Source organism: Homo sapiens, chromosome 13 (genome assembly GCF_000001405.40).
Source record: "Homo sapiens chromosome 13, GRCh38.p14 Primary Assembly".
NCBI lineage: Eukaryota > Metazoa > Chordata > Mammalia > Primates > Hominidae > Homo > Homo sapiens.
Genome location: NC_000013.11, coordinates 41,262,392 through 41,278,958, shown reverse-complemented (window position 1 = coordinate 41,278,958; position 16,567 = coordinate 41,262,392). Strand labels below are relative to the sequence as shown.

General features: G+C 40.6%; 1 protein-coding gene across 30 annotated transcripts in view, besides 2 other annotated features; it reads left to right on the top strand.

The window, feature by feature from the left end:
* Positions 1 to 16,567, top strand: part of MTRF1 (mitochondrial translation release factor 1) — a 95,670-nt gene that overhangs the window by 33,080 nt on the left and 46,023 nt on the right. For 5 of the 30 annotated variants that reach the window (XM_047430787.1, XM_047430788.1, XM_017020859.3 and 2 more), the window contains exon 1: positions 15,383 to 15,684. The exons of 1 other annotated variant lie outside the window; for it this stretch is intronic. In XM_047430787.1, the coding sequence (XP_047286743.1) occupies positions 15,654 to 15,684 (31 nt within the window). In that variant the 5' untranslated portion in view covers positions 15,383 to 15,653. Of the gene's footprint in view, positions 1 to 14,470; positions 14,549 to 14,988; positions 15,067 to 15,152; positions 16,549 to 16,567 lie in introns of those variants that run through there. 24 more of the 30 variants (XM_047430797.1, XM_047430796.1, XM_047430789.1 and 21 more) reach the window with 10 other exon arrangements.
* Positions 15,088 to 15,177: a silencer, noted in NCBI's record as "silent region_5290". NCBI's record gives its function as "represses an Ori minimal core promoter by ATAC-STARR-seq in GM12878 lymphoblastoid cells {active_cell/tissue: GM12878}" and the evidence as "EXISTENCE:reporter gene assay evidence [ECO:0000049][PMID:35858748]".
* Positions 15,465 to 15,965: an enhancer, noted in NCBI's record as "H3K27ac hESC enhancer chr13:41837130-41837630 (GRCh37/hg19 assembly coordinates)". NCBI's record gives its function as "activates a minimal SCP1, AML or CMV promoter by ChIP-STARR-seq in primed H9 embryonic stem cells {active_cell/tissue: H9 hESC(primed)}" and the evidence as "EXISTENCE:reporter gene assay evidence [ECO:0000049][PMID:30033119]".

Genomic DNA, 16,567 nt, shown 5'->3' with positions numbered 1-16,567 from the left:
GTAATTCCGAAAAGGAGGAAGGGAAGGAGGGTATAACAAGGCATGTTCAGCTCCCCCTTCCCATCATGGCCTGAAACTAGTCTTTCAGGCTAACTCTGGAATGCTCTTGGCAGAGGAGGGGTCCATTCAGATGGCTGGAAGGCCTTAGAATTTTATTTTTTATTTACAGGGACTAAGAGTCAATGTAGCTATATTGCCTGTTGGTAAAGATGGCTTATTAGTTCTTCATCTATGTTCTTATCCTATCTGAATGAGAATGGACTGAGGGGAAGTAACTTGCTAGACTTGCCTGCAATCTAGACCAATGCAGTGGCTGATACTAATGTCTCTTGCAAAGGTGGAAAAGTTTGGATATTAGTGGAGAGAAGAAGGAATAGTGAGGCAGGGTTTGGAGGCAGGGAACATAAGGCCAATTCACACTTCAGCTATAACAGGAAATAACCTCTGCATAGAGCATAGGCCGTAAATGACTTTGTAACTTTACTTCATCCTCTCCGTTTACATAGGGCATATCCCAAGTAACCAATGGAATCCTAGGGGGTATTTAAACTCACAAAAACTCTGTAACAGGGCCTTTGAGCCCCTATGCTTGGGCCCACTCCCACACTGTGAAGTGTACTTTCATTTTTAATAAAACCCTATATTCCTCCCTTGCTTTGTTTGTGCATTTTGTCCATTTCTTTGTTCGAGACGCCAAGAACCTGGACACCCTCCACCATTAACAATAGTAGAGAAGGAGATTAAAGGAATGAATAAATGAGTTATACCTTGAGGGAAATCTAAAATTGCATTAACACCTTGAAAGAGGCTTGGAGCATCTCAGGAACCTGACAAGATGGAATGGAAGCTTGCAGACCTGAGTGGCCTCACTCTGGCAGATATTCACCAATATAATGAACTGGACTGATTATTAATGATTAAATGGGATCCTAGTAATATAGCAGTATCTTTTGAGTTGTATATCCCTTTGACGTAAGAGATTTGTGAGTGGACTGTAGTACAGTGAAATATACATTTGGTCTTTGACCCAGTGTCCTGTCATATAACTCCTAAAATCCCCAAAGTGATATCTGTTGTATGCTAAGGAGTTGACTGATGGCTGGCAGCCCCTAGGTAACTTTAGGATGGCAGCTGGTCACCAGAAAGACCAAGGTAGGATTAGAGGGTTGGGACTTTTAGCCCCGCTCCCTAACATTCAGGGAGGGGAGAGGGGCTGAAGGCTAATTTGGTCACCAATGGCCAAAAGTTAAATCAGTCATGCCTATGTAATGAAGCCTCCATAAAACCCCAAAAGGACAGAGTTTGGATAGATTTTGAAGAGCTAAGCATGTGGAGGTTTCTGGAGGGTGGTGCTCCTGAAGAGGACATAAAAGCTTCACACATCTTCCCCATACCTTGCCCTATGCATCTCCTCTTCTATATCCTTTGTAATATCCTTTATAATAAACTGGAAATGTAACCACCTGATGGGTTCTTCCTGCCTGCTGCACGAATAAAGACCATGGCATTGCAGTAAAGAAAGAGTTTGGCAGGACATGGTGACTCATGCCTGTAATCCCAGCACTTTTGGAGGCTCAGGTAGGCGGATCATCTGAGCTCAGGAGTTCGAGACCAGTCTGGGCAACATGGTGAAACTCCATCTCTACTAAAAATAAAAAAAATAGCTGGGTGTGGTGGCATGCACCTGTAGTCCCAACTACTCAGGAGGCTGAGGTGGGAGGATCGCTTGAGCCTGGGGGCAGAGGCCACAGTGAGCCAAAAATTGCACCACTGCACTCCAGCCTGGGTGACAGATAGAAGGAGACCCTGTCTCAAAAAAAAAAAAAAAAGTTTAATTGATGTGAGGCCAGCCACAACACCTGAGAGACAGAGTTATTACTCAAATCAATCTCATCAAAGGCTCATAGGTTAAGGGTTTTTCAAAGTTAGTTAGAGGGAAGGGATGGGGGTGGTTATGCAATAAGTGCTTGCTGCTGATTGGTTGGGGCAGAGATGAAATCATAGGGAGTTGAAGCTGTCCTCTTGCACTGAGTAGCTTCTGGGTGGGTCCAGGTGGAGCTATGGGTGTCAGATATGCAAAAAGCCTGAAAAGATATCTCAAAAGGACAATAGGTTCTACAATAGTGATGTTATCTGTAGGACCTTTGGAATAATGGCTGGCAATCATTTATGTCTACTCCTTAGCAGAATTCAGGCTCCTCTCCTCCCCCAGCCTGGAGGTCTCTCATTGCTTTACAAAGGCAGTTGAGTTTGGGGGAAGGCTCATTATCATTTAAACTATAAACTAAATGTCTTCCAAAGCTAGCTTGAAAGCTAAAGGCAAGAGAGGGGTTGGCTAGATCAGATCACCTCCACTGCCATAATTTTCTCACTGTTATAATTTTTGGAAAGGTGATTTCAGTAAGTATAAAAAAAAATAACTAAAAGATGACCCCAGCACTTAGCAGAGTGCTTGGCACATGGTAGGTATTTAATAAGAGCTGATTTGGCCAGGTGTGGTGGCTCATGCCTCTAATCCCAGCACTTTAGGAGGCCAAGGCAGGCGGATCACTTGAGGTCAGGAGTTCAAGACCAGCCTGGCCAACATGGTGAACCCTCATCTCTACTAAAAGTACAAAAATTAGCCAGGTGTGGTGGCACATACCTGTAATCCCAGCTACTCGGGAGACTGAGGCACAAGAATCACTTGAACCCAAGAGATGGAGGTTGCAGTGAGCCGAGATCAATGCCATTGCACTCCAGCCTGAGCAACAGAGTGAAACACTGTCTAAAAAAAAAAAAGGAACTGATTAGATGAAGAGAATTTTAGTGACTTGCAATCTAGGCAGAGGAATTAGTAATGTGAAAATTGTTAAAGACTTTGAAATGGGTGAAAGATTATGGGGTGTCCTGTTATGTAAACTGCCTTTAAGCCATTTTACAACTCCTATAAGTTGTAGAAAACTGATAATAATGCAAATGATTATTGTCCCTAGAAATGCAAATTGCGTACAATGGAGGGGCAAGTGATTATGGCCTTGCAGTTGTTCATCTTTTAACCCTTTTCCCATTTAGGAAAAAAAAAGTGCAATTAACGCTTGCTTAATTTGACATAAATATGCTCTTTGAGCCTGGAGCAAATCTGACTGATTTTCAATGTGAAAATAAAATATAAAAACTGTTCTTAGGCTGGGCACAGTGGTTCACGCCTGTAATCCCAGCACTTTGGGAGGCTGAGGTTAGCAGATCACCTGAGGTCAGGAGTTCAAGACCAGCCTGGCCAACATGGTGAAACCCTGTCTCTACTAAAAATACAAAAATTAGCCAGGCATGGTGATGCATACCTGTAATCCCAGCTACTCAGGAGGCTGAGGATGGAGGATCATTTGAACCCGGGAGACAGAGGTTGCAGTGAGCCAAGATCACGCTGCTGCACTCCAGCCTGGGCAACAGAGCAAAAACTCTGTCTCAAAAAAAAAAAGCCGGGCACGGTGGCACATGCCTGTAATCCCAGCACTTTGGGAGGCCGAGGCGGGCAGATCACGAGGTCAGGGGATGGAGGCCATCCTGGCTAACATGGTGAAACCCCATCTCTACTAAAAATACAACAAATTAGCCGGGCATGGTGGCGGGTGCATGTAGTCCCAGCTACTTGGGAGACTGAGGCAAAAGAATGGCATGAACCCGGGAGGCGGAGCTTGCAGCGAGCTGAGATCGCGCCACAGCACTCCAGCCTGGGCAACAGAGCGAGACTCTGTTTAAAAAAAAAAAAAAGTTATTGGAGTTATTTCTAAACAGAACTAACATCAGAATTGTCTGAATCATCAGAATCAACTAAATTTGGAAAAACCTGATTCATCAAATGAATCTTCAGCCAACAACTGTTCGAGAACGATGTTAACATCATGCATAGGAATGCTAGGTTTTCTAGGATTTGACATTTTCAGTAATCAAGAATTACTATGTTTTGTAAATGGAAGTACCGCAACTAAAAACAGAATGCTATAATAAAATGATGTCTTTCGTTTCTAAAGTCGGTACACTAGAGTGATATGAAAATAATAATAGGCCGGGCACGGAGGCTCATGTCTGTAATCCCAGCACTTTGGGAGGCCAAGGGGGGTGAATCACTTGAGGTCAAAATGGTGAAACCCTGTCTCTACTAATAATACAAAAATTAGCCGGGTGTGGTGGAGCGTGCCTGTAATCCCAGCTACTTGGGAGGGTGAGGCACAAGAATCACTTGAAAACAGGCAGCAGAGTGAAACTGTGTCTCAAAAAATAATATTATTATTATTATTATTATATATTTATTATTGATAATAAAATCAAGATATTTCATGTCAAAGTTATCGTGGAGTAAACATTCCAGCCGCAAGCACTGCCAGCAAGTATTCTAGGGCAAACAGGAAAGGGGTTCAACAAATTTGTTTCAGCATTCCTTATGGTGTACTTATATGTCTGGGCATTTTCTTTAACCAGTTATAACATCTACCGGTTTTCTGATTTATTAATAAATTAATCATTTTGGCACATGTTCAACTTCATATTTGTACAAGGGTCATAACTTTACCTTTTAAAAATATGCTTTAGCAGTATGAACAAAAAAATAAGTTTGAAAGTGTGTTTTCAGGAAATAAGTCATCCTCGAGCTGAAACATGAGGATCTTGGAGGATGTCATTAAAGTCACCTCACAGTGCTAACAAGAATTCTGGACAGAAATATAGTTATAATTAATCATTAATCCAGTAGCACCTTAGCCTACTTCCTTGTAACCAAAAGTCACATAGCACCAGATAGAGAAGGTTTGTGTGTATTCCCATTGTTCCTGTGAAAGTAAAATAAATCTTGGGGCCCCCAAATCACTAAGCTAAAGGGAAAAGTCAAGCTGGGAACTACTTAGGGCAAAACCTGCCTCCCATTCTATTCAAAGTCACCCCTGGTCTCACTAAGACTAATGGATATCTGATTGCCTCCTTTGCAGAGGCTAATCAGAAACTGAAGGAATGCAATCATTTGTCTTTTATCTACCTATGACCTGAAAGCTCCTTCCCAGCTTGGAGTTGTCCCACCTTTGCTTTGAGTCGCCCCACCTTACCAGACCAAATCAGTGTTCAGCTTACATTTTTTTTGTTGTTGTTGAGACGGAGTTTCACTCTTATTGCCCAGGCTGGAGTGCAATGGTGCGATCTTGGCTCACTGCAACCTCCGCCTCCCAGGTTCAAGCGATTCTCCTGCCTCAGCCTCCCGAGTAGCTGGGATTGCAGGTGTGCACCACCACGCTCAGCTAATTTTGTATTTTTAGTAGAGACGGGGTTTCTCCATGTTGATCATGCTGGTCTCAAACTCCTGACCTCAGGTGATCCACCTGCCTCAGCCTCCCAAAGTGCTGGGATTACACCCAGCTCATCTTACATAAGTTGATTGATGTCTCATGTCTCCCTAAAACATGTAAAACCAAACTATGCTCTGATCACCTTGGGCACTTGTTGTCAGGACCTCCTGAGGCTGTGTCACAGGTGCGTGTCCTCAATCTTGGCAAAATAAGCTTTCTAAATTAACCGAGACCTGTCTCAGATATTTGGGGTTCACATTTTGGTAACCATGGAGGGCTTCCAAGTGAAGATGCCTCTAAACTTTTTTTTTTTTTTTTGAGACGGAGTCTCGCTCTGTAGCCCAGGCTGGAGTGCAGTGGCGCGATCTCGGCTCACTGCAACCTCCGCCACCCGGGTTCATGCCATTCTCCTGCCTCGGGCTCCCGAGCAACTGGGACTACAGGCGCCCACCACCACGCCCAGCTAATTTTTTGTATTTTTAGTAGAGACGGGGTTTCACTGTGTTAGCTAGGATGGTCTCGATCTCCTGACCTCGTGATCCACCCGCCTCGGCCTCCCAAAGTCCTGGGATTACAGACGTGAGCCACCATGCCCAGCCATAGATGCTTCTAACCTTTGACAAATTTCCTGTTGGTGCTTGGTAACAGCATGAGCTAATTTTATGGCTCAAATCCATGGGACAATTTGCTGAGGTCTGGGAGCACCCCTCCAGAAAATCCCTGATCTCCCAAAATTTGGTCAAGATCTAAAGTTTATTTTGCTGTGCAACTACCCACCCCCTGCCCCCGCCTGCCTTTTTTTGGCATTTTACTTGCTTCCAACAAAGAAGGCAAAATTTTCTGCTTCCATGACGATGGAAGGTAAGTAAATCCTTTATGTAGTTTGAACTCGCACCCAGCAGGGAAGATGAGTTCAAGTGTTTTTCTTGCTTCTAGGATGGTAGAAGGCAGTCTTTAGCCTGAGACCCATCGCTAGGTAAGTTGCTGAATTGGGATTTTGTCTTGACTGGTTTAACAATAAGCTGGTCTTAATTTCTCCTTACCATTAGAGTGCTCAGTGATGTGATCATATTGTTGGGTTTCGTTGTTGTTGTTACAGTCTTTCTCTCATCAGATTTGACCAACTCTACCTCAGTTGGTCTAATCTGAGTGAGAATTCCAAGATATGGGTAATAAAGCCTCTCTAATTTGGCTAAAATTCCTCACAGCTGCAAAAGAGGAAAAACAAAAACCAAAAAATCATGCACTTGGTTTCTATGTTTGCTTCCCATCTTTAAAACAAACAAACAACAAACAATGTTCTTTCATTTACTTTTCTTCCACCCTATACCTCCTTCCCCTTTGCCATCTGCGGTACCAAAAAATCTAAAGAAGGCTTTTAATGACTTGAATCCCTGTAAAGAATTCAGAACAAAGGCACCACTGACACTTTTTGTGGTGTTCTGTTTTCTTTGTAAAGTTTCAAGAGTCATGAGCAGATTGTTCTTAGGTCTCAAGCTCTGTTTTTCAAGGTCTGTTTTACATGACCTGATCTCTTTGGTTTTGGGGGTACCAGAGATTACTTTGTACTGTGAGAGGATTTGACTGTGGCATGTGTAATGGCAGATGAGAGCTACAAAGTTAGGGGTGGCTGAGCACAGTTTACAGGAAGTGGTCTTGGCTGTGTTTTTTGTTTTTTTCTCCTAGGAAGTTGTTGTTTAAGGATCCTGATTCTAGTTCAGAGCTGCTTTCTAAAGGGTCTTCTCTATTCCTTTTTCTCCTCAAGTTGATCTCAATTCAGCTTGTCTGTGTGCATTTGCATGAGGAAATGAACGGTTGTTTTCACAGGTTAACAGGAGACTGAGTTTTCTCAGTTCCAAAGAAAAAGGGCTTTTGCTCCTCCCAGCAGAATGGCACCCCTGGGTGACCAGGGGCCTTGTGAGAGTGTCTTGTGGGTTGACCCCTGTGATGTGCAGCGGCCCTACTGGAAAATCCCAAACAAAAATTAATTTTTAAACAGGCTCATCCAGGAAATGCACATAAGGGCTGATCACCAGGTGTTTTAAGCCCTCTCGGAGATCTTAGACCTCTGGAGAGAGAAACTAAAACATGAAAGACGATGGAAACGACTCAATGGTGGCACACTGTGTTGTCATGCCCACAAGCAGCACACATCGATCCACTACACAAAAACCCTAGGCCACAGCTCAGTTCCTCCTTTTAAGAAAAAAAGTGGGAAACAAATACTCTAAGAATGAGGAGAAAGCAAGGAGAATGACCCCCTTTTGAGCATTCTGTAGGTTTCATGGCTTCTATACTTGCCAGAGTTTATGTAAAATGGAAGTAGTATGGTCTTTGTGCACATTTACATTAAGGGAAAAGAGCCCTAAGGTCAACCTGCAAACTCTAGAGTTCCTAAGTTCTCTTTTCTATTTTCTTTTCTGCCTGCTTTGAATCTGCTGTTATTTGTCTATTAAAATAAAAACCACTGTTTGGATCCAACAGGTTTTTTGCAAGCCAGTGAATTTGTATTTATCTCATATCTAAAGCTTTGAAGTAAAAGCTATATGGGGTGTGTGTGTGTGTGTGTGTGTGTGTGTGTGTGTGTGTATTTAAAAGGCCTTTGGGCTGGCAGCAGTGGCTCACACCTAGAATCCCAGCACTTTGGGAGGCCAAAGCGGGTGGATGACCTGAGGTCAGGAGTTCGAGACCAGCCTGGCCGACATGGTGAAACCCCATCTCTACTAAAAATCCAAAAAATTAGCCGGGCATGGTGGCGCATGCCTGTAATCCCAGCTACTTGAGAGGCTGAGGCAGAATAGCTTGAACCAGGGAGGCAGAGGTTACAGTGAGCTGAGATCACACCATTGCACTCCAACCTGGGCAACGAGAGTGAAATTTCGTCTCAAAAAAAAATTAAATTAAAAAATAAAAAATAATAAAAAGCCTTTATAATTTATATAGTTTTATGTTTAATTAGCAATTACATTCATTTTAATTTTTCTCTAGCATGTCAGACTTTTTCTCTCTGTACCTTATCATGTAAATTTTGCTGTTTGATTTTCACCTAAGTTGTTTCCTTCAATATGCAAATTTAAAGCTATTTAGCTAACAACTGCCTAGGGTAGTGAGACAGGTTATCAAGAATTTGAAAGTATAAGAGAAAAAAAGCTGTTCATGAATCTGTAAGATGTACTTCTATCAGCATCCCTAATATGTCTATGTATTTATGTGTTATGTACACAATGTTTCACTACTGAAAATGTCTAAAAGAGCTCTAATTAATTAACTGAAGAAAATAAAAATATGTGAATCAAATATTTTAATCAGGAAAAAAGACTAGTTAAATGCTTTTTCAAGTTTACATAACTTAAGTAAAATCTTTAATAAATAAGCTAGTTTTAAAATTATTGGTAATGTTAGAAATGTCATAAAAATTGCCAACATAAATTTTTGTTTGCATTTATTAATCAAGAAATTTCATAATTATCCTAACCAAATACTATAAAGTTTCAAAATTTTGCATAGGGGTTACAAAACTATAAACCCAGCCCAAGATAGAATAAACTTTGCTTATGTAATTTTTAATAAACAAGACATTGATATTGGTTTAATGGAAATAGCTACATCTTAAATTTAGTAAGATTACTATAATTTCTAATCTTGTGGCTTTAGGCAGTCTAGTCCACAGGCAGTAAAGTTTGTTTTGGGAAAGGACTGTTATCTTTGTTTCAAAGCTAAACTATAAACTAAGTTCCTCCCAAAGTTAGTTTGGCCTACGCTCAGGAATGAACAAGGACAGCCTGGAGGTTAGAAGCAAGATGGAGTCAGTTAGGTCAGATCTTTTTCACTGTCCCAGTTATAATTTTGCAATGGCAGTTTCATAACTTTAAATCATGACTATCATAGTTTTCATAACTAAAATAGGTAAATGATTAAAATAAAATAATTAGGTAAATGTAATGGGATAAATGTAGAAAAACTCATAATTTAGAATATAAAATTATATTAAATTAAATAATAGATATTTTGTTATTTGGGTATTTTCTAACAAAAATATATTGTAGGAAAACATTCTAATAATAAAGTGTGTCCTTTTTAAAAAAGTGAACAATTTTTGTCTAATTGAAAGCTTATTTAAAGGTTTTGTACAAAATAAGGTAAAAGGGCTGGGCGTGGTTGCTCATTCCTGTAATCCCAGTACTTTGGGAAGCCAAGGCAGGCAGATCACATGGTCAGGAATTCAAGACCAGCCTGGCCAACATGGTGAAACCCTGTCTCTACTAAAAATACAAAAATTACCTGGGTGTGGTGGCGCACACCTGTAATCCCAGCTACTTGGGAAGCTGAGGCAGGAAAATTGCTTGAACTCGAGAGGCAGAGGTTGCAGTGAGCCGAGATCAAGCCATTGCACTCCAGTCTAGGTGAAAAGAGTAAAACTCCATCTCAAAAAAAAAAAAAAAAACCAAAAAAAAAAAACAAGGTAAAAGGAACCAGGAAATAAGAGAGATGTAAAGGAAGTTATAAAAATAAAGAGGTTTTGTTTTTGGTAAGAAAGCTTAAAGAGAAATAATTTTATATAAGAAACAATCTTGTATGGTAAATTTAGTTCTAGACTAAAATGACTGGTTTTAAAAAAAAAAAAAAAGGGATGGTCACGTCAAACCAGAAAGTCCAAGCATGTCATGAATGGTCTGTGTAAGTCACAAGAATAGGATTTATAAGAAAAAAACTGAAAACTTTTATATGATCAAGTTATCTAAAATTAATGAGAAATTATAATGGTCTCTCCAGGGATTGGGCTTGATGTAAAAAAAGAAAACACTTATACACTAAATAATTAGAACAATAATATTAATTTTCTTAAGGGATTGATTTACTCAATAAATTACAGGAGATTATAGTTTTCTTAACAGAAAGTTCAACTTTTATTGCATCTTGTTTTTGGTTTTCTCTCCCCTTTTAAAGGACGTGAAATAGGAACACTCTTCTTCAATTCATTTTCAGCTCATATAAGTTTTGTTTCCCCTTGAGTTCTGTTTGTTGTAGCCTGATGCTAAAATGTTTTCTTAAAGGTCTAAAGGAAATGTTTTCTTTTTCTTTTCTTTCATTTTTTTTTGAGACAGAGTCTTGCTCTGTCACCCAGGCTAGAGTGCAGTGACGTGATCTCAGCTTGCTGCAATCTTCACCTCCCAGGTTCAAGTAATTCTCCTTCCTCAGCCTCCCGAGAATGACTTACGATGATCTGTGATATCAAATGTTTTTAAACCTTCGATATTTGACAAACTTTCTAAAATCAAATTATAAATTAAGTCTTTTTTTGATCTAATTAATCCTTTAAGATATTGGTTTCCCTAAAGTCCAAAAATGACATAATTTGGCTTATTTGGTATAAAAATTACACAGGAAGCATTGTCAAATATGAAATGGTGTGTGGTTACTCCCATACCATTACTATCTGCCTAAGTGATTTCTTCTTAATTCCTGAATCAATAGCATTTCTGATGTTAGAATTATAAGGCTTTTGTTTAAGGATTAATTTACATCCCCATTGCTCTTATAGATAGGATCTCTGATGTTAGAATAATAAGAAATTTGTTTAAGAATTGCTTAATATGGTTTTCAGAGCCTGAATTTCAGTGGAATAGCTGATGCCAACCGGTTTGAAGATGCTGGGCAACATGATGAAACCCCTTCTTTACAAAAATACAAATAATAATAATAAGATTAAAATAAAAATTAGAAATCCTAGAAATTGTTCAGAAAGCAAGCTTTTTAATTTGATCGCCATTTTTTTTTTTCAACAGTTTCTCACTCTGTCACCCAGGCTGGAATGCAGTGGTGAATCACAGCTCAGTACAACCTTGACCTCCCAGGCTGAAGTGGTCTTCCCATTTCAGCCTCCAAAGTAGCTGGGACCAGAGGCACACAGAACCACACCTGGCTAATTTTTTTATTTGTAGAGGTGAGGTCTTGCCATGTTGCCTAGGCTGGTCTCAAACTCCTGAGTTCAAGCAATCTTCCCACCTTGGCTCCCTAAAGTGCTGGGATTACAGGTGTGAGCCACAGCGCCTGGCTTTTTATCACTTTTTTACTTTAGAAAAGTTTTTATTTTTCCTTTTAAAAATGACAAAGCAAAGACAATCAATAGCTGAGAGGTTCTAGCTAATCAATGAAGAATGAGTAATAAAATATCACCATTTTGCCACACCTAGTGAAAAAATGGATCTAGGCAATGAAGAGCTTCTAATATTTTAAAAGACATAACTTTTAAGAGACTCCCATAAGCAAAGTACACATAACCACAGAGCATAACCACAGCTATGAAGTAGTTTTGCCAAAAACAATTTAAACCTGAATTTGATCAAGTTTCTAGACCAGTTTACAGGAGATACAGGGAACAAAGGACACATTATATACCACAAGTCTAGAAAAATCTTAACTGTGTGAAACTCCTCAGGGCTAAGGATCCAGTTTCTTCAACAAATACATTGCAAGGAAAAAAAAAGAAGAAAAGGAGAATCTAAAGATTAAAATAAACCAACAATATAACAACCAATTGCAATCTATGTACTTTATTTGAATCCTGATATTAACAAACAAAATGCCACAAAAAAGAGAAAAAAAATCTGACACAGGGAAATTTGTTTTTTTTTTTTTTTTTTTTTGAGACAGAGTCTCGCTCTGTTGGCCAGGCTGGAGTGCAGTGGCCCCTGATCTCAGCTCACTGCAAACTCTGCCTCCCAGGTTCACACCATTCTCCTGCCTCAGCCTCCCAAGTAGCTGGGACTACAGGCGCCTGCCACCACGCCCGGCTAATTTTTTTGTATTTTTTTAGAAGAGATGGGGTTTCACCGTGTTAGCCAGGATGGTCTCGATCTCCTGACCTCGTGATCCACCCACCTCGGCTCCCAAAGTGATGGGATTACAGGCGTGAGCCACTGCGCCCGGCATCACAGGGAAATTTGAACACTGACTGGACATTAGATAATATTAAAAAGCTGTAATTTTCTTAAGAGATAAAGTCTCACTGTTTTTTGTTTTGTTTTTGTTTTTGAGATAGCATGTTGCTCTGTCACCCAGGCTGGGGTGAGGTGGCACCATAGCTCACTGCAGCCTCTACTTCCCAGGTTCAAGTGAGTCTCATGTCTCAGCCTCCTGAGTAGCTGGGATTACAGGTGCGTGCCACTGTGCTTGGCTAATTTTTGCATTTTTAGCAGAGATAGGGTTTCACCGTGTTGACTAGGGTGGTCTCAAACTCCTGGCCTCAAGTGATCCACCCGCCTTGGCCTCCCAAGGTGCTGGGGTTACAGGCGTGAGCCACCACGCCCAGCCCGAGTTCTAAATGTCTAAGTTGTTCTGCATAGTCAGAATAACTTGGCTGCCATAACAAAAAACCATAGACTGGGCCAGGTGCAGTAGCTCACACCTGTAATCCCAGGATTTTAGGAGGCTGGGAGTTTGAGACCAGCCTAGTCAACATAGTGAGACCCCCATCTCTATTTAAAAAAAAATAAAAGCCAGGTGTGGTGGCTCATGCCTGTAATCCCAGGACTTTGGGAGGCTGAGGTGGGCAGATCACAAGGTCAAGAGATTGAGACCATCTGGCCAACATGGTGAAACCCCATCTCTACTAAAAATACAAAAATTAGCTGGGCGTGGTGGTGTGCACCTGTAGTCCCAGCTACTTGGGAGGATGAGGCAGGAGAATTGCTTGAATCCGGGAGACAGAAGTTGCAGTGAGCCAAGATCAGGCCACTGCACTCCAGCCTGGTGACAGAGCGAGACTCCACCTCAAAAAACAAAAAAACAAAAAAACAAAAAACCACCAGCTGGGTGGCCTAAACAACAGAAATTTGTTTCTTAGCCTCTTGCGAGATTGGGAAGTCTAACATCAAGGTGGCAGCAATGTAGGTTTCAGTCTGATACCTCTTCTCTTGGCTTGTAGGTGGCCACCATCTCACAGTGTACTCACGTAACCTCTTCTTTGTTTGGGCAGGGACAGTGAGCAAGATCTCTGGTGCCTTTTTAGAAAGGCACTAATCCTATTATGTCAGGGCTCTACTCTTACGACCTCATCTGACCTTAATCACCTTAAAGGCCCTATCTCCAATACAGACACATGTATTGGAGGGGTTAGGGCTTCAATATATGAATTTTAAAAATAAATATTAGTAATATGCACATGATTATGAATATAAACAATTCAGTCCATAGCAGTAAGACTACTTTTTTTTTTTTTTGAGACGGAGTTTCACTCTTGTTGCCCAGGCTGGAGTGCAATGGTGCAATCTTGGCTCACTGCCACCTCTGTCTCCTGGGTTCAAGCGATTCTCCTGCCTCAGCCTCCGAGTAGCTAGGATTACAAGCATGAGCCACCACGCCCAGCTAATTTTGTATTTTTAGTAGAGATGGGGTTTCTCCATGTTGGTCAGGCTGGTTTCGAACTCCTGACCTCAGGTGATCCACCTGGCTCGGCCTCCCAAAGTGCTAGGATTACAGGCGTGAACCACCACGCCCGACTAAGACTAATTTTTTAAGGAGAATAAAGCTTTATATATAATACTCAAGTTATATAGCTGAAAGCACAAATCAGAATAAATAATTAAAGAACTTTTTGGATAACTTAGGAGAATGACTTTATGTAGACCCTTTGAAACTTTTCCCCTACTGGAACATAAGCTCCATGTGGGCAAAGGTTTTTGTCTTTTCTGTTCATTGCTAAATCCTCATGACTAGAATAGTGAATAGCACATAACTGGTGTTCACTATTTATTGAATACATGATTGAAGGTTTTTTCTTTTTTGGAGCAGGGTGGCCCTATATCAGAGCTTAGGAGCCACAGATCATTAAAGCCATTGCCTTAATTGAGTCTTGGCTCTATCACTTACTGTTTTTTACCTTGGAGTAGTTACTTTAGCTCTGTGTGCCTTAATTTTCTCCTCTGCAAAATAAGTATTTTAAGGTTGTAAAAATTAAATGAATTAATAGGGTAAAACCATTTAGAACAGTATTTAGTACATAGTACATAGAAGTAGGTACCTTGAAGTTGGCTATAAACGTTAGATATTATTTTGCATATATAGCTAATTCTCCTATCTATGTATGTGATTATAATCTAAGAAAATACTCTGTAAAGTCAGTAATATGGTACATTTTTTGCCTTTTCTTTCAGGAAGAAAAATTGAGGCATGGAGATAGAAAGACTGTAAATTGCGATAGCCAAGGGCTGGATCCCACTGGATTAGTCAAAGTAGGACAATATGCTTGCATTTTCCTGCAATTGTTTATTAACTGGAGTTTTCATTCTTCACTTAATCAGTGGTTCATAAGCTATGAATCTAGGTTGAGCCCCTACATTCCCATGTGCAAAGAACATTATAAAATCACTAACATGTGGAAATACACGGTCTCCTAACTTTTGGGGCTGTTACTACTTTTAAAATATAAATTTATTTGTATTATCCTTTAGTCATTAGGTATTTTCTGAAGCAATGGAAGCTGAAAGTATAGAAATTACACGCAGAATCTTCTACATTTGTGGATGATGTAAAAGGAGTCTTTATTTTTTTTAAATATTGGAAAACAGTGCTTTACGGGCTTCTAATACATAAGGAAATTATTGTAATTTCACATGCAATGTGTTCTAAATCTTGATCTCTTAATCAGAATCGTAAAGAATCTCTCTTCTAGGTTTGCAGTTAACGGTGAAAACCAAAAACTCCACATTTGGCTGGATAGTGAGTGGAGGGGGTTGGAGGCTGCCGCAAGGTAAACTACAACTCCCAGGATTCTTTGGTGGGCGCTCTGGGAGTTGTAGTTTAGTCCCACCTTGGCCCCTCCCTCCCTCCCTCCCTCCCACCATCTCCATCCCCGCTCTGGGCTCACGCTCTGGATAAGGACGGCGCGGGGGCGGTTGTCTGATGACAATTTCATTCTCGTTTTGTCATTTTTCTCATTTAGCTCATTTTTGTCATTTTAGTCCATTGTTAGGCATGCTCGAGGACAACTCCTCCGGAGAGCGGTAGTGGCGGAGGAGGGGCCGGGAGCGTGCGTTAACCCGGAAGAAGTGAACCAGGAAGTGAACGTGATCTCGGGTTTGTCGGGCTGAAATGTGGCGGGTCTCGGAAGGTTCCGACCTCAGTAAAGAGAGCTAACGTGTATTCTTCTTTTTCTTAGGTACTCACAGTTCTTTCCTGATCTTCCCCGCCGCCTCCTGTATTGCCTCTTTATGGAATCACTCCATATACTGAGTTACACAGCATGGTTTGCCCGTGCTGCTGCCCCGCGGGCTGTCGCTTCTGACCTGCCTACACTCAGAACTTTCCCCAAAGCATCAGAGTAATACTGTTACTGTGATGGGTAATGGAGAAGTCGTGCTGTTCTCAGGTGTAGTTAACCTTGGAGAGTAAACATCTTGTTTTGTTTTGTTTTCCTTAATGTTGAGATTCATGACCTTGAAAATTATGCATTCTACTACTGTTCCTAAAATGGAAATTTTAGCAATAAGTATTCGTACAAACATATATTTGTCATCCTTTTATTCTGTCTGTTAGCAAATGGATACACTTTCTCTAACGTGCTTGAAATACGGGGGTGGTGGAGTGTAACGTTTGTGACAGCTGGCCATTGGTGCTTTCTTCAACAGTTCTTTTAATAATGTGATGCAGTATCCTAAAATCTATCAGTAGAACTCTGGAAACTGAATATTTTAAAGACCATTCTGACTATTTTATTTCCTAGGTGATAATGCTAAGTTAACAGACTTATAGTGAACAAATGAGCTAATATATCAATGCACCTCCTAGCATAGTAGGATCACTGGAGACAGTAAAGTTTGATTTTGATAAATGTTGATCCTTCTTTTTTTGAGTTGAGTCTCACTGTGTTGCCCAGGCTGGCCTTGAACTCCTTGGCTCAAGTGATCCTCCTGCCTCAGTCTCCTGGGTAGCTGGGACAATAGGTGCATGCTACTGTGCGTGGCTTGACCCTTATTTCAACTTTGAACCTTAGAGTTTTCTTAGAACACTTTATATTCTCCCTTTCTTACTCAGTAAGACCATTGTGTACTTTTGTTAGCTCTTGATTATCTCTGTTGGAGGGGAGGAGAACAGAAAATTATTGTACACAGCCAATTTCACCTAACCTGTAATTTTTTAAACTAATCTTTTTTTATGATTAGGAAAGTATTCCATGCTACATGTGCAAGAAACTTGGAAAACACTGAAAAGTAGAAAAAATAGCAAGCAAAAGGTATTCATAATCTCACAAC